This window comes from Homo sapiens, chromosome 3 (genome assembly GCF_000001405.40).
Source record: "Homo sapiens chromosome 3, GRCh38.p14 Primary Assembly".
NCBI lineage: Eukaryota > Metazoa > Chordata > Mammalia > Primates > Hominidae > Homo > Homo sapiens.
This window is the reverse complement of record NC_000003.12, coordinates 54,902,535-54,922,431: the sequence shown is the minus strand read 5'-3', so window position 1 is coordinate 54,922,431 and position 19,897 is coordinate 54,902,535. Positions and strand designations below refer to the sequence as shown.

The following is a 19,897-nucleotide window of genomic DNA, read 5'->3' as shown; positions in this document are numbered from 1 at the left end:
TAAAGTGGCTTGAACTATTGTATTGTGGATTAAATTGTAAGCACAGGCCAGCCAACACAGAAAGATAGTTTTCATTAAAGAACATTTCTTGATTAAAAAAAAAAAAAAAAAGTTCCCAGGACTAGGGCACTGGAAGCAACCTGGGATGGGATGAAATGTGCCCTACTCTGCCACAAACTTGCTGGTGGTCTTTGGGAAAATTAGTACACTTCCCTAGCACTCAGTGTCACCAGAGGGAAACTGATAGTTTTAAGTCAGGGAGTTCCTACGGCCCATTCCAGTCCTCAGATTCTGTGACGCATTTCAACACGCCGTCACAACAGAGCTGCATGAGTACAGATCACAGCTTTTCTTCGGAGGAAGGCAGAAATTGATTTGGGGTAATAAGACCTGGATGTCCCAACATAACTAGGAAAAATCCAAATATGTGTCAAACATGGGAGACAGTCTGATTATAGATATATTGAATACAGGCAAAATAAGGGAACAGATATGAGTCAAGATCTTCTTTTAAAAAAAGATATATAAACAAATGCAAACACTACAGGTATTAGGGCAGGCTAACCGACATAACAGACTAGCCCAGACTTTAGTTATATATGCAATAAAATCTGTTGCTCATTCATGGCAGAGTTCAAAGGAAATGGGGGCATGGTCTGCATTCCATGCAGTCATTTAGGGACATAAGACCCCTCGAGCTTGTGATGTCGCCAAGTTTATCACGTGGCCTCTAAGGTCATCCCCAAGTGGGAACAAAATGCATGGCGGATTACACGGGGGCTTTATGGCCTGGAGGTGGCATTAATTAATTCAATTAATTGAATTCCATTGTCCAGAATTCAATCACATGGCCTCAAATAGACCACAAAAAGTGGGAAAATTTAGTCTTCCTGCTGGCCTAAGAGCAAAAAGATGTGCTTTGGTGAATACATAATAATATCTCCTCCAAAGAAATATGCACACAGATTGTATGATTAATATTTCTCTCTATTTACTAGTAAACAAGTCATCTTCACTTCACTAAACATTTACTCTGAGCTAGGTATTATGCTAAATACTTGATATATTTTATCCAACTGAGTCCTCAGAGCAATCTTGGGAAGTGAATTTTAATTATCCTCATCTCCCACTTTCCAGATGAGCAAGCAGAGGCACAACGTGGTCAAGGGAGTTTTTCACGGCTGCACAGCTACGTAATGTTCAGACTCAAGATTTGAATCTAGTTTCTCCCAAGACAGAGGTGAAGAGCTACTAGTGATCAGATAGAGAACAATGAGTGCTTGGCAAGCTGGAGCTTCTTGCATTGTCAGTTACATTAATCTAGAAGGATGTGGGACCCTCAAGCTGTAATCAGCAGATTTGACGAGGGGGTCATGGCCCATGAAATGGTGGAGAGTGGGAGTTGCATCCCGGCTGAGGATCACCTGCACAGGAGACCACAGAGCATTTGGCAGCCATAGCCCCTGCCTTCCAGCTATGTCCCAGGCTCCAGTCTGGGTATTTCCTTGGCTCTGGGTCCAGAGGCTGTGGCTCCCACCTTAATACCGAACAACAGAAAGTCTGGAACTGGAGAAACACAGTTCTTAAGTCTGGGGTGATTGGGTAAACCACCCTAGTCAAGGTGGAAGTCAGCTGATGAACCTGTCCATCCCCCTGGCAGGTGGTCTTGCTTCCCCTGATAGAAGTCTCCATGCTCTCTGGCTGGATTAAATATCACGACTACTTCTCAAAGCCCCATCACTTCATTTCTGTCTCTCTGACCTTTTTGTCTTGCAACCAACTTCCTGGCAGAGGCTCCTATGGTCAGGTGCAGAGGAATGAAATGGTCCATGAGGCAAGAATCCTTAATCTCAATGGCACTTTGAACTCATCTGGAGCAGCTGCTCTGAACCTCTGGCCTCAGGAAAATCAGTGGCTCAAAAAAGGAAGAAATTCCCCTTTTATCTTTCTGCTTTAGGGTGAGGACTGTTTCCTCAAAGGATTGCTAGAGAAGCCAGGAGGAACCCAAGACACTCTGGTGGTGGGTGATTCAGTTTTAAGCAGTGGCAACAAAAAGGACATGGGTTGAATTTTGCCACTGCCACTCACCCTGGTGTGTTGGGGCCACCTGATAATCCTTGCACTGCAAGATAGGCCCTATCTACTTACAGGGCCACTTATGACTTATCTTGTAGTAAGCTTAGAGAGAGTAAATGTGAAAGCATTCCTAAAACTCTGAAGTGCCATGCAATGGAGGGTGCTAATAATGTTGAAGTGATGCCCTCTACATATGTCTTTCTGGTATAATTTCCTAATTCACTTACTGTGTGTACTAAGAATCTCCTCCAATCTAACTTTGCTAACTGCAGTGCCAGTCTTTTCGGCTGGCCTAGGGGAGGTGCTTATGGCAGCCTGAGAGGGCCAAGGTGCAGGTCATGGGGCAGTTCTGTCCAATCAAAAGGCTTCCTAGCAGACAGTGCCGAGGGCCATCCTGCCCACTCCTCTGACCTCACAACGCTCCTGAGAGGAGGATGTGGCGAGGCAGCGAGTGTAGTGGAAAAAACTTGGACTGAGCATGGAGAACTGGGTTTGGATGTTGTTTCATCCACTCGTGACCTCTGTGAGTCTGGACAAGAGTTACCTACAAGAGTGGAGTATTAGGACTTATCTAACAGTGCTTTGTAAACCATCAAGTTGGATACAAATAGCATGTTTTCATGGCAGAAAATTAAGTCAGCGAAGCACATTTTCCCAAAGTCAAAGAGTAAATCAGTGGTCACACTAGACTAGACTTCAGTCTGCTAGCTCAGGGCTCTCTCTAGGAAAGAATGACCGACCACCCAAATTCCCCCGACCAACAGCAGTCTACACACCTGAGGATATCAATCACCTTACAGGTAATGGAAACTGGGTTTAATAACCCACTGGAAAGTTCAGTATTCAAAGCCGTAAATGTTCTGAGGCCTGAGGAGACACATTCATGGTACCGAATTCCAGGAACTAAACTTCCAGTATTGTCAAATCCACAGATCACTCCAAGACCATTCCACCTCTCCATTTGGCATCACTGAACAGTGTTGAGACACACAGGATCTTTGTAATAAACACATAACATCACAACAATGCACATTTATTTTATTTTTTCCTTAGATTTTCAATGGGAATCTGGTACAAAAGTTTTCTTGTCTGTGGGGCTCACTAGGACCATGCGTGGCACGAATGCAGTGGGCAGCTGTGCCCTCACCATCGGCCCCCAGCGTGCCTTCTTGTCAGCTTTTGCATTGTTTTCTCTGAGCATTTAGAGAACATGAAGGTTACTGGGCTTCTAATGAATTCTTGGTCATAAGTAATTGCCAATTTAGTGTGTGGCATTTTTAGTATTTAGCCAATTTAGGAATCCTAAAATCATAAAATATGGTTGTTAAATTCTTTGACTCCAGGATTTAAAAAAAAAAAAGGTACTTCATAAATTCCATCTGCCTAAGTTTTTGCAGGCAGAGGATTTTGGAACTCTGTTGTATCAAGGCTTTGTTATTGTTCTTTGCTTTTGTTTTTTAAAGGGGGACTAACAGACGGCATCATCTGTGAATCACCAGACACCTGGAAGGGAAAGGACCTCCTTAGGATCCCTCATGAGCTGTACCAGCCCTGCCCTCTTCCTGCTCCTGATCCAGTGTCCTCGCAGGCTCAGTGGCCCGGCTCTGCCCACGGTGTGGTCCTGAGGCCTCCTGAGAACCACAACGCGGGGGAGCGAGAACTCTTGGAGTGCGAGCTCAAACCCAAGCCAAGGCCGGCCAACCTGCGTCATGCCATTGCCACTGTCATCATCACTGGCGTTGTGTGTGGGATTGTGTGTCTCATGATGTTGGCAGCTGCCATCTATGGCTGCACCTATGCGGCAATCACAGCCCAGTACCATGGGGGACCCTTGGCTCAAACCAATGATCCTGGGAAGGTGGAAGAAAAAGAGCGATTTGACAGCTCACCAGCCTGAGAGCTTTTGTCTCAAATAGGATTGGTCATTGCAGGCCAGAAGATAGTGTCTGAGTAGGGCTGATGTGTTTCCTGTTAGTCTGATTTTGCTTTTGCCAAAAGACAAAAAAAAAAAAAAAAAAAAAAAGAAAAAAAAAAGATGTGTCTGTAAAAAATATTTCTGGGGAGGAATTTATGTTGCGATTTTTAAAATACTATAGGTAAAATAAAGATGATACTTGTGCTCTGGGCCTGGGAAGTTATTACGACGATTCTATGTGGGGGTAAGACACACACAGAGAAAGGGAAGATGCCATCTCTTCCAGGTACTCTTCTGTGGATTAAGTTCCTTTTACAAAGCACCAGAAATTCAAACACACATGCCAATCAGCATTCCTGGGAGCTTTATGGTCCACTGGAAAACTGCCCAATTTTGAGTGCTTGGGAAGAGGCTGGTGATCTTACCCGATGGGCATTGAATGCCTCTATAATTCGAGTTCATGCTAGATCAGTGATACTTTTAGATGTTGTATATGTTATAAATTTAGTGGAAGCTGTTGGTTGGGAATTTCATAGCTTGCCACAAGAGTCAAAGTCTATTTCATTTTCTAAATCAGAAAACCATTTGGGGCTTTCTAGGCCTCAGAGGAAGAAGAAGATTCCATGTCCGGATAATAGGACTCAGGCCCTGAGTCTGGGGAAGTTTTCTGATGCAAGGGTAAATAACATATAAACAAACACAAAGAGGATGGGGAGCCAGAATTTGGGGCAGATATTACCAAAAGGCCATATCCACCAAGGGATTGGAACCTTCCATTTATAACTCTTACAGCAGGAATGAATTTAGGTTGGGCTGAGAGCGAGATAATGACTTTTGTGTATCTGTATCTGCATACATAGCGCACAGAGTGCATAGAGTTGTACAACCACACCCACACATAAACATACTCTGAGCAATCAGTTTACCCACTAATGAAATGCAGCCGTGTCAGGGTGGAAGCCAGCAGCTGTTGTCCACCACCCAGATTGTCTACTCCCCACACTGGGATAGGAGTAAGAAGGAAGACTGCAGAGAGTGGGAATTACCAAGAGACTCAAGATAGGTGGCGGCAGCTATCCTCAATGTTATTTAGGCCATGGTTTTAAAAAATCAGGTGTGGCTGGCTTTACTCCACAGACATGGTCTTGAAGAGTTGCATGCAAAGTGAATTTTTGTAAATTGAATCATCATTTTAATGCAGTAGGGGAGCTGGCTATTTAAAGGAACCTTTCATGGAATCTTTCTGTAATAGAAATAATTGGCTCCAGATTTATGCATTTTGTAAATTTTGCATTTTCTCATGCTAGGTTTTCTTAAAGTGGAATCTACCTGTTCTCTCTCATGATGCTCACAGTCACCTGTTAGTATTAAAATCATTTTACACAAGAAGAGAGGACAGAGAAGTTATGGACATGTTAAAAGCAGAGAATGGCAAATATAGGGCCAGCTGTCCCTCCAGAGGCCATGACAGACATTGCTAATCAATCTCAGCACTCTTCCTAGCTCAGCACCACAGATGCCTTAAGACAGCACTGTAGGCAACCAGAACTAATCAACTGGAGTTGGTTCAAAGGATAAAACACATTTGCTACTCAGGGTACTGGCTCTACATTCACTCCTTCAGGCCATGTAATGATTGGTTTGGATCCTAAATCAGTAGTCCATTCTCTAACTGAAATGTGAATGGAAGGTTCACATGTGTATGGGATAGATGCAGGGAAACGGGTGAACCTATCACTTCCTACTGTGCAGGTCTCACACGGATGCACCTCTAATAATCACAGAGACAATCTACACCTGCCATGGTGCTTCATAGCTAGTGTGGGCCCCACACACCCAGAGGCTAAAGATGGACCACCTTTCTGGAGCAGCAATTTTGCTAGATGATTTTTCTAGGGGACAAAGTTTAAATTTCGATGGTAATTTTTTTCTGAATATCGAAAGAAACTGAAATACCTTAAATTGTAGATCAAAGAAAGACCCCAAGGAAAGCCTGCTGACCCATCAGCTCTGTCCCAGGCCCTGGCACCTCCTCTCCATGGGCCACTCAGTGGACATGGCTCAATATCCTTCTTTATGGACGTAGTGACTACTTTCCAAGTGAAAAAACCTTTCTTTCCATGGCCCTGGACTGAGGATGCTTGGCCAAGAAGGCAGTGTGAGAAAGGAATTATACGTTTTTATACCTTGTCCCAGTTTCACCAAATGTTTCCAGAGCTCACACCGTGTACCGTGTACCAGACACAGTGCAAGGCGTTCTTGTGTAATCCTGACACCCACCCCATGAGCCACTTGAACGGATATTACATTAGCTGAGAGCTACTGAGGTCAATAACGCATGCTTCGTTTTAATGCAGTGATTTCAGTCAGCAAGTGCACTGGGCCCTGCCAGAGGTTTGGTGACAGTGGAGGTCAACCCAGTCCCCCTACCCACAGAGATTACATGAGGGAGTTTCTGATCCACCACAGAAAACCCTGAACGTGACTAGAATCCTTGCTTGTCAACACTTATATCCTTTTAGATTTCTAAGTACAGATGATAACTCAGGCAAACAGACTTCCTGCTTTATGGGCAGTCTTTAAGGAAAATGATTAAAATGATGCATACTTATATTCAGATTTCTATCTTTTGCCTACAGTCACCACAAACAGCAGTTGGCAATGAAAATAATTACTTACCCTGAAATGTCAACAGCTTCTCAGCACAGAAAAAAATATAAATCAAATTGTTTACATTAACAAATGCAGAGTTATCATTTGTTAATATGAGAAATGAAATGTTTTAACTGTAAAAAACATTGCAGATGAAAGACCCAATTTGCAGGGTATTCTGTGAGAACCACAAATTATCTTTCACAACCACTACAGCTCATGAGGGGTAATTTGCAAACGCCTCATAGATTATTTTCAGCTGTTTATTGCTGCTGTCATATTCATAGATTCCCTTATAAAAATGTCCTTCTGTCATAGAAGCCTTGCTGAGGGTACACTGTGGACAAAAATCACGTTTAGTGTTGATTGTTTCTGAGAAAACTAAAAATATAGTTCTTTCGTCATATTTAGTAGAACAGTATGGCTACAGACGGGTGATTTTTGCCTTGCCAGGGATCATAAATTCACAGATATTGTAGCTGTCTGTAGTGAGGCATAAAAAAAGGGGGCATGAAGAATGTACTCTGCCATAGAGATTTTGGAGAAGGAAGACCTAGAATCAACTTTATATCTGAAAAGCTTTTACAAATAAGGCAAATATCCCTGACCCCACAGGAAGAATCTTTTGCTTAAGATTATAAAATGCCAGTGGATTACTAAGGGTTTCATTTTTCCTTATAAAAATGGCAAGACTAAAAAGTGATGCACACACAGATTTCTTCCTGAAGGTCTGTGCAAATCAAATCTCCTTGCTTGAGTTAACCAAGTACCCCTGAAACAAGACACCTTTATCTTAGATCCTAAATATCAAAGGAAGTGGTTAAACTAATTTCTAAAATAATCTATCTGTAGCACACATTCACATAATTATCCAACAACCGTTAGAAACCTATAACTTTCTATTGCAGGTCAGGAAATTACTGTTTCCAGTTTGGGAAAACCCATCCCTGTATCCATTGCTAAATGCTATTGACAGAAACCCACACAAAATTATATTCCAACTCCACATGGCATTGCTGGGCTATGATCTGCATGCATGACTTTAGGGAACCATCCTTTTGCTCTTTTGATTAAAATGCTTTATTTTTTAGACTCAAATTGCAATGCAGTCTCAAAGAAACCCCTACCCCATTCAGAGAAGCAGCTGCCTAATCAACCACTTCCCTTTCAGATTCTTTTTTATTTTAATTTTTATTTATTTTTACTGATATATAATCCCTTTCAGATTCTTAACTGGACTACTCATATCTACGTTTTACTCCAATCACACTGAATATTCATTTGGGTGGACAGGATAGGATGTCAGCCAGCTACAAAGGCCCATCAAGACGACCTTGATAACAAATCAGAGGACTGGGGATCTGAGAAGGGTCTTAGAGAGCATTTAGTCCAGGCCTGGAGAATTTCAGAATAGCTGCCACCAGCCTTTCTATCCATTGCAGACATTGCTAATAGATCATGACAAAGTTATCTGCTGAGCCCAGACAAGGCCTCATAATTTTTTTTTTTAATCTGTTTTCCAGGTATCCATTACTGATCAACTGGAGTTGACATAAGAGATTAAACCTATTTGTTACTCTGATATAGTTCCATGTCCTTATTTTACAGAAGAAATGGAAGCATGGAAAGGAAAGCAACATTACACAAGTCATGCACAGAATTAACTGCAGACTTATAAATGCAGTTGCAGGAGATGGGGTTAGCATAGATAACACAACACGATCCTCACCATTCTTTGTTCATTTAGTGGTGAATCACAATATCAAAACTATGACATTATTATACTAAGTATTTGGATAAGGGCAATTACAACACCATTATCAGCATTTACTGAGCACCCAATTTCGTGCCATGTATTTTCCAAGCATAATACTTAATTTTCTCTAAGCCTCATAGTAACCAAAACACGTGGGTATTGTACTGCCACATTACATACGAAGACACAGACAGCTTAGGTCATTTGCTCAACGTCACACCACTAGTAAATGGTGGAGTGGGAATCTGGATGCAACTCTTCCCAAGGCCAACACCCAGGCACTTTTCAGGACCTGACAGGTTCGAAGAAGTCAGAGTTAGGATCCTTTCCTGGCACTGCCAACACTTACCTTAAAGCATGGCAGGGCAAAGAAACCCAACCACCAACCAGTAGGACACTGCCAGAGCTCTGGTACTACTAAAACCAGGAGGCCGGCTGAAGGAGCCAAGGCAAAATGGGGAAATAAGAACCCTTTCATAATCTATGGCTCTACTGGGCTGGAAAAGGCAGTCTCCAAATGAGAGGGGAAGAAACTCAGTCATACTCTCTTGAAATTATTTGAGAAAAATGGGAAATTTAGAGTCTAGATTAAGATGCTAGCCAATAAGTATTTCCCATTGAAATACTCATTAATACACAGAAGAGGAGAAAGTTACGAGGGCCACGGAAATTAGGAATACTGCTCAAGGATAGCTAAGTCTCCAGGAGGAATATCTACTATCTAAAGCAGAAGTGCAGCCTTGGCAACATGGTAAAATCCCGTTTCTACAAAAAATGCAAAAATTAATTAGATGTGGTGGCACATGCCTATGATCCCAGCTACACAGGAGCCTGAGGAGGGAGGATTGCTTGAGTTCAGGAGATCAAGGCTGCAGTGATTCATTCCAGTCACTGCACTCCAGTCTGAGTGACCGAGTGAGATCCTATCTCAAAAAAACAACACAAAACAAAACAGAGCAGAGGTGTGACCTTGAAACAGATGAGTGGGGTGTCAAGGACGAGAGCAATAGTCTGTACAGCCCATCCTATGCTGATATGCCTTCCACTGAGACCCTGAGTTTAAAAACAAATCAGAGAGGAATCATGCTGTCCTGTATGTAGGGTATCTGAGGACATTTAACTTCTACAATACCTCCCATTGAGACCCCACTGTCTTCATTCATTAAAGATGAAGACCGTCTACAATGTGGCATATAGGAGGATGTTCTCCTTTTCCAAGTATTAAGGCTAAAGGAGTGAACAAGAAATATAAAATATCTGTCCCATGAAACTTAACATCTAGCAGAGGGAGAAGATAAAGAAATACAAATCATATCAGGTGGTGAACAAGCAGATGTGAAGAGGAGAGAACGCTGGGGATATGGAAGAGGAAGAGTTTTTATTTTACATGTGGTGATAAGGAAGGTCCCTGCTGAGAAAATATTTGAGGAGAGACCTGAAGGAAATGATGGAACCAGTGGTGAAGGTATCTGGAGGAAAAATGTCCCATGGAAAAGGCATGGCAGGTGCAAAGGCCCTGAGGTAGCAGCAAGGTTGGTGTGACTGAAGAACAAGGAGGTAGTGTGGCTGTGGTTGAGTGGGCAAAAGGGAAGTAGAAGGAGCTGAGATTAGAGGGTAATAGGGGTCAAATCATGTAGGACTTACAGGTTGTGGCAGGTGCTTTTAGGATAACTCTCAATGATTCTTGCCTCCTGGAACTCATGCTCTCTCCTTGACTGTGGGCTGGACCTAGTGACTCGCTTCAAACAAACAGAATATGGGAAAAGTAATAAGATATCCATTCCAAGATTAAGTTACAAAAAACTCCAGCTTCTATCTTGCTCACTCTCTCTTGCTTGTCCTATTCAAAGTAAACTAGCTCACTATGAGCTACCCTACGGAGAAGCCTATGTGGCAAGGAGGTAAGAGAGGTCTCTGGCCAACAAACCACAAGGAGCTAACTGAATCCTGCTAATGATCTCATGAGTGACGGTGAAAGCATTTCCTCTGTTGAGCCTTCAGATGAGTCCGCAACCCTCAACAACACTTTCATTTCAGCCTCATGGAAGATCCTGAGCCAGAGGACTCAGCTAAGCTGCACCCAGAGTCCTGACTCACAGGTACTGTACAATAGTAAATGTCTGTAGCTACAATGTCTGTAGCTTTAAGGCATTAAGCTTTGGCATAAGATAACTAATACCTGGACCTCTGTGAGAATTTTGGCTTTTAGCTCTGAGTAAAGTGGGAAGTCAATAGAGAGTTTTGGATAGAAGAGTGACATGATATTACTTATCTTTAACATGATTTCTGTGGCTCATATGAAGAATAAAATGAAGAGGTGAAGGTTGGGAGAAGACAGGGGAAGCGGTAGAAGCTGCTGCTTCTATGACAATCCAGGGCAGAGATGAAAGTGGAGCGGCCCACTGAGGGAACAGTGGAAGTGCTGAGAAGTGGTCAGACTCTGTACATAACTGAAAGAAATAACAGGATTTATAGGCAGATTGGTTGTAGGTAGGAGGAAAAGGAAAGAGTCAAGAATGACTTCCAGATCCTGATTCAAAGCCAGGCACAGGGGTACATGCCTGTAGTTCCAGCTGCTCATGAGGCTGAGGCAGGAGGATCACTCGAGCCCAGGAGTTCAAGACCAGTCTGGGGAAAAACGTGTGACCCCCATCTCTTTAAAAAAAAAAAAAAAAAAAAAAGACGACAAAGAAGGAGGGGGAGGAGGAGAAGCGGGGAGGGGGAAGGGGAGGAAGAGGAAGAAGAGAAAAAGAAGAAGAGGAAGAAGATCCTGATTCAAACAAATTGTAAAAAATAAATGACACTTTTGAGACAACTAGAATTTACATTCTGACTAGGTAATAGATTTAGGAATTATTTTTAGGTAATTGTATTGCTATATTAAAATCCAAAGAAGTCCTTATCTTTTAAAGATGTAGGCTGACGTATTTATGAATGAAACGATGTAATGACTAAGATTTGATTTAAAATAATATGGGAGGGGTGGTTGTGGATTGGCAAATTGAAGGACACAGTGGCCAAGGGTTGATGGCTACTGGGATTGGGCACAAGATACGTGGAATTTCATTGTATTTTTTTCTGTCTACTTTTGAGTACATTCAATATTATCCAAGATGACATGCTTTGTTTAAAAAAATAAATGAATCACTCCAAAGGTTTTGGACTAACTAGAAAATGAGAATTATTGAGTTGGATTTTAAATTATCAAGGCTATGGAGAAAGGGTGGAGGGGGAGGGTGTGAATGCAATCAGGACTTCAGCCTGGCATCTAATGAATTTGACAGGCCTATTGGGGAAAGAGTAGAGACACTGAATAGGCAAGTAAGGTCAAGTAAGAGAAGTGTGGCTTGGGAATCACCAGTTTATGAACAGTGTTCAAAGCCTTGAGAGTAAATAGGAGCACAGGTGGAGAACCCTGGGGCCCTCCAACATTTACTAGTTAGGGAGATGAGTGAATCAGCAAACGAGACCTAGGAGGGTTGGACAGTGAGGTCAGCTAAGAACCAAGTAAAGGGAAACTTCAAGGAGAAAGTGATCAACATGGTGAAGCACTGCTAATAGGCCACGACAAAAGAACAATGGAAGTTACTGAAATTACTGGTGACCTTCATGAGGAATATTTCATTGTGGAGTGGGTTCCAGAGAAAATGGAAAACAGCAAGGCAGAGGAGCATATAGCATAAAAGAATGAGTAATGCATCACACAAATAAAATAATGTAACAGAATACTTTTGACTTAAAAACCTGACTATATCATAAAATCTGGAAGTTGGTGGAAGAATGGTAAAGCATATACTATGACCATACACGATGTTTTCATTCTGAAATTTTATTTTGAAAGACAATTACCTACTACCATCTGCCTGAGCTGTGTCATGTATAATTGTGTACTTTGGCCTTGAGGTGACCATGACATTCAGGCATTGATCCTAACATCCTGCACATCTTCTCACCCAGAAGAGAACCCAGGAGTTCTTGGTAAGTGCAAACTTTGGGAGACATTGGGAATAAAAAGCCTTTGATCAGCACTGTCCCTTTCCCACCAGACACTGATCAAAGCATTTTCCTCAGGCAAGAAAGTCCATGTACTGGACTTTCAGTCAAGTCAAAGGGTTTAGGCAGGGATGTCCAATCTTTTGGCTTCCGTGGGCCACACTGGAAGAAGAAGAATTGTCTTCTTCACCACGCTGATCACTTTCTCCTTGAAGTCTCCCTTTACTTGGTTCTTAGCCGACCTCACTGTCCAACCCTCCTAGGTCTCATTTGCTGATTCACTCATCTCCCTGACTTGTAAATGTTGCAGGGCCCCAGGGTTCTCCACCTGTGTTGCACACAAAATATATTAACACTAATGATAGCTGATGAGCTAAAAAAAAAAAAAAAAAAAAATCACAAAAAAAATCTCATAATGTTTTAAGAAAGTTTATGAATTTGTGTTGAGCTGCATTTGAAGCTGCACAGCCCATGGGCTGCAGGTTGGACAAGCTTGGACTCTTCTGCTGCAGATTCTGCTCATGCCCGTCCCTTTTTTCCCAAGGGAGGGAAATTCATGTCAGCTCATCTATCCTCTGTGGGCCCTTTACTTAGCATGAGTCACATATATTCTAGTCTTAACTGAGATCAAAATCCCAACAAGGTCACTAGGAGATTTGCCTGGATAAAGGCGGTTAAATAAATCCCCAAATCTCTCATGAGCCATGTTGGAAAAAAAAAAAAATCCCATAAACTGTTTTCCACCAAAGCATGTGAGGGCATTTTCAATGTTCTACCAAGCATTATGCTGATTGCACTGTTCAGAGATTTATAAGCTAGAGTGAAGATTAACTAAATCACTGTCTTGACTTACAATGAAAACATATATTTTTAGAAAGCTTAGGATCTTTGATTGGAATTTCTGTGTAACCACACAGACAAAAACATTAGGCACTACCGATGCACAACCTCTGATACACAAAGCTCTGTCTTCGGCATCCACTTACATAACCTCTGATTTAAATATCTACTTCATTTTTATAGAAACATGTTTAAATAGGTGAGTGAACAAATCAGCCTTTTTCGTTGTTCTTTTAAATAGAATATGTGACATATTTTCATGTGAAGTTGGGTTTGGCAAGCTTTTTCTGTGAAGGAGCAGGTAGTGGATATTTTTGGCTTTGCAGTTTCTATGGTCTCTACCCCTCCATCTACTCAGCTCTGCCATTTTAGCAAGAAGGTATTCACAGACAATATGGGCATGGCTGCATTTCAATACAACTTTTTCTACAAAAACAGGCAGTGGAGAGCTCACAAGATTTTTTGCTTTTTCTCTTTTGTTTTGAGACAGGGTCTCACTCTGTCACCCAGGCTGGAGCACAATGGCATGATCTCGGCTCACTGCAGCCTTGACCTTCCTGGCTCAAGCTATCCTCCCACCTCAGCCTCCTGAATAACTGGGACTACAGGTGCCTGCCAGCCTGCCCAGCTAATTTCTGTATTTTTTTGTAGAGGTGGTGTTTCACCATGTTGCCCAGGCTGGTCTTGAACTCCTAGGTTCAAGCAATCTACCTGACTCAGCCTCCCAAAGCATTGGGATTACAGGCATGAGCCACCACACCCGGCCTGACAAGGTATTTATATCCAGAATATATGAACAACTCTTACAGCTCAACAATATGAAGACAACCTAATTTAATTTAAATATGGGCAAAGGATCTGAATAGACCTTTCTCTAAAGAAAATATACAAATGGCAAGTAAGCACACGAAAAGATGCTAAGTCATTAGGGAAATAGAAATCACTTCACACCCACTAGGATGGCTAAAATAAAAAAGACAGACAGTATTAGAAAGGATGTAGAAAAATTGGAATGTTCATATGTTGCTGGTGGTGTTGTAAAATGGTGCAGCCACTTTGGAAAACAGTTTTGCAGTTCTTCCAAATACCAAACAGAGTTACCATATGACCCAACAATTCTACTTTTAGGTATGTACCCAAGAGACTATAAAAACATAGGTCTGCACAAAAACATGTACATGGATGCTCATATCAACATTACTAACAGCTAAAAAAGCATCCATCAACTTATGAATGGATGTGCTAAATGTTGTCTATCCATACAAGGGAATATTATATGGCAATTTAAAAATGAAGTACTGATACAGGCTACAATGTAGATGGATCATAAAAACATTATGTTAAATGAAGGAAGCTTGTCACAAAAGGGCACATATTACATGATTCCATTTATCTGGAATGTCCAAAAATAGACAAATCCATAGAGAAAGCACACGAGTGGTTTCCTAGAGCTGTAGTTTGCGAACCTCAGCTCTGAGGCACAGGTATGTGAAAGTGTGAGTTTCAAAGTTTTAATACAAAACATATCAAGATATTATTAATATAATCTTCTGATATGCAAGTTTTCAGAAAAAATAACATAATACAGGAAACAGCACTGACTAGTGAGCAGCAGTGGGCGTAACATATGGTAATTCTTAATGAAGAGGGCGACAATAATAATTTAGCAGCTAATGATTATTACCCACCCAGATGTAAGCATTTACCAAAAACTTTATATACATAAAAACTTATTTCTCTCAACAGGAATCAGACACTCCCCCAAACGCAAGACTGAATCTGGGTCTAAGACATATTCCAGTATTGGTTAATTCCTTCCCTTTTCTCTGGTGGTAAAATAAATGTCCACCTTTTAAAAATGAGGCTGTTAGAGATCCAACCTCTGCACCAAACAACCTCCTCTTACACATGTGAAAAGGAAGGCACAGGGGTGAGGCCTGGGGAAGGGGATGGCCTGTGCTCACTCATAAATACTCAGTTCACACTGTCTTTTATGTCCACATCCCACCATGACCTCTAAAAGAAGTGGCTTAACTTGCTGATTTAGAACACACAAGCAGGTAAGAGGATGTGTCACCCCAAAATTCTGCTGCTCATTTTTGAGTGGAGGGCGCGTTGGGGCTTTTGAGGAGTTTAGAAAGGGACAGTAACTCTTGGGAGCAAGTGTCCTGGAGAGTGAGCACAGAGGATCCAGTTTCTCAAAACTCTGGGCTATTTTTATTCCTGGGGCAATAATCCTCAACATGCCCTTGTCACTGGCTACTGTGTGGTATGCAGAGCAGCTGCTCTAATGTCCAGCTCTCACTCTCAAACTCTGCTGTAGACTTTAAATAAAGTGTGACCTATAGCTACATCACTAACCCATTTCTATAAAGTTTGCTGTTGTCAGTCCTACTGGCTTAGACCTGCTTCTGTCCCTGCATAGTACTCATTTGTTAGCTTAATAAAAATGTCAAACATATAAAAAGTCCCATCTCATAGTTGACATTCAGAGCAAAGACTTGCCTTGGGTTGCCCACTTTCCCTGGGTCAGCTACCCACCTACTCATCAGCTCTGGTTGTAGAACCTGGTAACTACCCCCAAAACCCAAGAGACTCATTCAGGTCTCACAGCACCCACGTGGAATATGGACACATGGATGAGGAATCTCATTGCAGGTTACTGGAGGCATTAGTTCCCATTGTATATGGGATATACTCTTCCTGTATATCTTTGCATGATGACTGCAGACTGCGTCTCATGATTCAGACCTCCATTCATGTCACCTCATCAGGGAGGCCTTCTCAAACCACCCCCAACCTGGAAAGGCATTGCCCCACCACATACCCATGTGCACATGGCTGCGCACTTCCTCTCCCCTTTGCCACTGCCAACCACATTTCATCTCTTAATCCTACTCCATTTCTAGAGAGTATTTACCACTACTAGAAATCAATCCTTCCTTCCTTCCTTCTTCCTCCCTCCCTCCCTTTCACTTCTTCCCTTCCTTCCCTTCCTGTCTCTCATTCCTGCAATACTTGTGTGTATCTGCCACACAAATGGAAGCTCTCCATTGGCAGCAACTTGGCCATGCTCAGCATTCTCAGAGGTTGCTGCAGCATTTGTGTGGAACAATTCTTCATTGGGAAGCTGTCATCTCAGTCTCTGGACATCGATGCCAACAGTGCCCTTGTCATCAATTGACAATCGCCTGACACCCTCCACAGTGCCTTCTGGGGTACTTGTTCACAGCTGTATCCCCAGCGCTAGGAACACTGTAGGTGCAATATATATATTTATTGAATGAGTTAATTAAAAATAAAGAAATGAATCAAGATTGTTAGTCTATAAGGAAAAACACTGAATTTGAAAGCACTGAGTTGAAGTTTACCTGTCAGTTTAACCCAACAGTTCTCAATCTCAGCACTACTGACATGTGAACCACATAATTCTTTGTTGTGGAGGCTGTCCTGCGCTTTGCAAGATGTTTAGCACCATTCCTGACCTCTACCCACTAGATGCCAGTAGCATCCTCCTAACCAGTAGTGCCAATCAGAAATGTTTTTTGATGGTGCCAAATGTCCCCTGGTGGCAAAATCACCCCCGGTTGGAAACTACTGGTTTAATCAGTAAGTTTTCATTTTTGCCAAAATAAAACAGTTCCTTTGCTCAGATTTTAAAAACTAGAGGTTTATCCAGGCAGACTTGATACACACTTTCTGACATACTAGTTAACTCCTACATACCAAATATGTGAGATCCCACCAAAGGAATGTTCACAAGTTAAATTTTTGCCTAGAACATTTTGCCAGCATTATTCACCTAACTCTAATGAAGGGCCCATAGTAAATACTGCATTCAGATTAAATACCACATACTTGGCAACAGTTAATGATCACTGATGTTAATCAATCCCTTTCCTAATTAGCTGGTTAAATGGGATCTTCCCCTTCATTACACTGCCCTGAGTTATGCAAATGAGACCACATAACCCACATTTTCAAATTTCTCCAGTAACAGATCTAAAGTGTTCTGTGTTTCTTGCAAATCAACTCCCAAACTTACTAAAATTCATTGAATTTTATAATTTAAAAAGATATATAAATCCTACCTCAATAAAGCTGTTTAAAAAGAGCAGTTTCTATAAGAAACCAATGTCTCTGGTGTCTATACTCCTTTTTATCTGCTGATGTGATCAGATTAGCTATTCTAAGCATCACCTTAGATGCCCGGACCTCAGAAAAGACATCTACTGATGCAGAGATAACTACTGGTCCAACAAGGTTGCTTTTGGGATGGGACACAAAACAATTTTCTATTCCTTAAAATATTCATATTGATCAATATCATATTACTATAGTATGGACTGGAGTTTTAGCTACTGAGTGATTATCTGTCTTAGAGTTTTAGTCAAGTACTATGTTTCCACTATCTGGTCAATAAATATGTACCTACATAAAGAAGGTGAAAATGAAGCCCGTCTTCCTTGAATCATGTATTTATCCAGTATCGCTCCCATATGGACCGTATGTTAGCCCTTGTACTTGGCACTGGGAATAAAAAGATAATTGGGTCTTTGCCCTTAAAGAGTTCAAAACTATCTAAGAAATCAAAATGAAACATTTTTAGGAGCAATTTTAGATTTTGGTATGTTAAAAGGTACACTTTAAAGCAAGTGCACATAATTCAGATTTCATTATTTAATATTTTACACATCTCTAGAAGTCTGAAATTGTTAACAAATATTGGGATTGAGTATCTTGTATTTGTCAGAGGGAGGGTCTAGAAGATAAACAGGGAAGTCAGACAGACGATTTGAGGAGGGGAAGAAGTCTCCTGCAGGGCCACACCTTCCATCTTGCTTCAATTCTGCCTCCCTGTATTTCTTTGTACCAGGTCATTTCTACCCTGATATGGTAGATGCGGTGCCTATGACTGCTGGACTAGTGGGCCAGGTCTCTCCAGGGAGAACAAAGTAAAGAATCACCACCACGATCAGCGTAATTTATAAAACTCAAGTCAACAATAAGTAAGTTAAGGCAAAATAGGTTTTGCCCTTTCTCTTCTCTTGTGTGTGCTCTCTTGCCCTTCTACCTTCTGCCCTCTGTCATAACATGACACAGCACGAAGGCTCTTGCCAGATGTGGGCACCTGGATCTTGGGGTTTGCAGCCTGCAGAACTGTAAGAAATAAATTTATTTTCTGTATAAATTACCCATTCTGTGGGAGAAAATTTTTGCAAACTAAGCATCTGATAAAAGTCTAATGTCCAGTATCTATAAGGAACTTAAACAAATTTACAAGAGAAAACAAATAGCCCCATTAAAAAGTGGGCAAAGGACATGAATAGACACTTCTCAGAAGAAGACATACATGCAGCTCACAAGCATATGAAAAAAAGCTCAACATCACTGATCATTAGATAAATGCAAATCAAAACCACAATGAGATATCATCTCACACCAGTCAGAATGGCTATTATTAAAAAGTCAAAAAATAACAGATGCTGGTGAAGTTGGAGAGAAAAAGGAGTGCTTATACACTGTTGGTGGGAGTGTAAATTAGTTCAGCCATTGTAGAAAACAGTGTTGCGATTCCTTAAAGAGCTGGAAACAGAACTACCATCCTACTCAGCAATCCCATTTCTGGGTATATACCCGAAGGAATATAAATCATTCTATCATAAAGACACATCCAAGTGTATGTTTTCTGCAGCACTATTCACAATAGCAAAGACATGGAATCAACCTAAATGCCCATCAATGATAGACTGGATAAAGAAAATGTGGTACATATACACCATGGAATACTATGCAGCCATAAAAAAAGAATGAGATCAGGTCCTTTGCAGGAACACAGATGGAATTGCAGGCCATTATCCTTAGCAAACTAATGCAGGAACAGAAAACCAAATACCGCATGTTCTCACTTATACGTGGGAGCTAAATGATGAGAACACATGGACACAGAGAGGGGAACAACACACACTAGGACCTAATGGAGGGTGGAGGGTGGGAGGAGGGAGAGGATCAGGAAAAATAACTAATGGGTACCAGGCTTAATACCTGTGCAATAAAATAATCTGTACAACAAGCCCCCATAACACAGTTTACCTATGTAACAAACGTGCACGTGTACCCCTGAACTTAAAATAAAGTTAAATAAAAAAAAATTACTCATTCTGTGGTATTCTGTTATAACAAAACAAAATGGATTAAGACACTGGTTATTATTTATTTATAGCTAGAGTGCCTGGCAAAAGCAGAGGCTCAGGAAATATTTATTTATTGAATGAATGAATATGCCACCAACTTTTAGATAAAAACGGGTTATGCTAAACTCTAGCATTTTTATTCTTCTCTCTTATCCAAGAATTTTCTTGTTTGTTTTCTCATTTTATCCCTGAATTGACACACAGGAAGGCAAGGGAGGTAATAATCCCAAGCCTATTTTAGATAGAACTTTAGAGACCCAAGACCACACATTTAGCAAGTTATAGAGTGAATGACAAACTGCGTGGACCTTACAGTCCAAGATCTGCATTTCCAGTGACAACAATGCAATGGATGAGGGACCTGACACAACAGAAGGTTCCAGGGCTAGGATGAGACTTGGTAGGCCAAAGGGAGAGTCCCACCACTTCTTCCTGTGCAGTGGGAAAGCAATTAAGAAAATGCAGCACACT

At 41.4% G+C, this 19,897-nt stretch overlaps 2 protein-coding genes across 3 annotated transcripts in view; one reads left to right on the top strand and one right to left on the bottom strand.

Moving 5' to 3' along the window:
* LRTM1 (leucine rich repeat transmembrane protein 1) overlaps positions 1 to 4,201 on the top strand; it is a 48,872-nt gene extending 44,671 nt beyond the window's left edge. For both annotated transcript variants that reach the window (NM_001304389.2, NM_020678.4), the window contains exon 3: positions 3,540 to 4,201. In NM_001304389.2, the coding sequence (NP_001291318.1) occupies positions 3,540 to 3,973 (434 nt within the window). In that variant the 3' untranslated portion in view covers positions 3,974 to 4,201. The remainder of the gene's footprint in view (positions 1 to 3,539) is intronic.
* The window catches only part of CACNA2D3 (calcium voltage-gated channel auxiliary subunit alpha2delta 3), a 952,006-nt gene that overhangs the window by 152,126 nt on the left and 779,983 nt on the right, over positions 1 to 19,897 (bottom strand). The window lies entirely within an intron of this gene.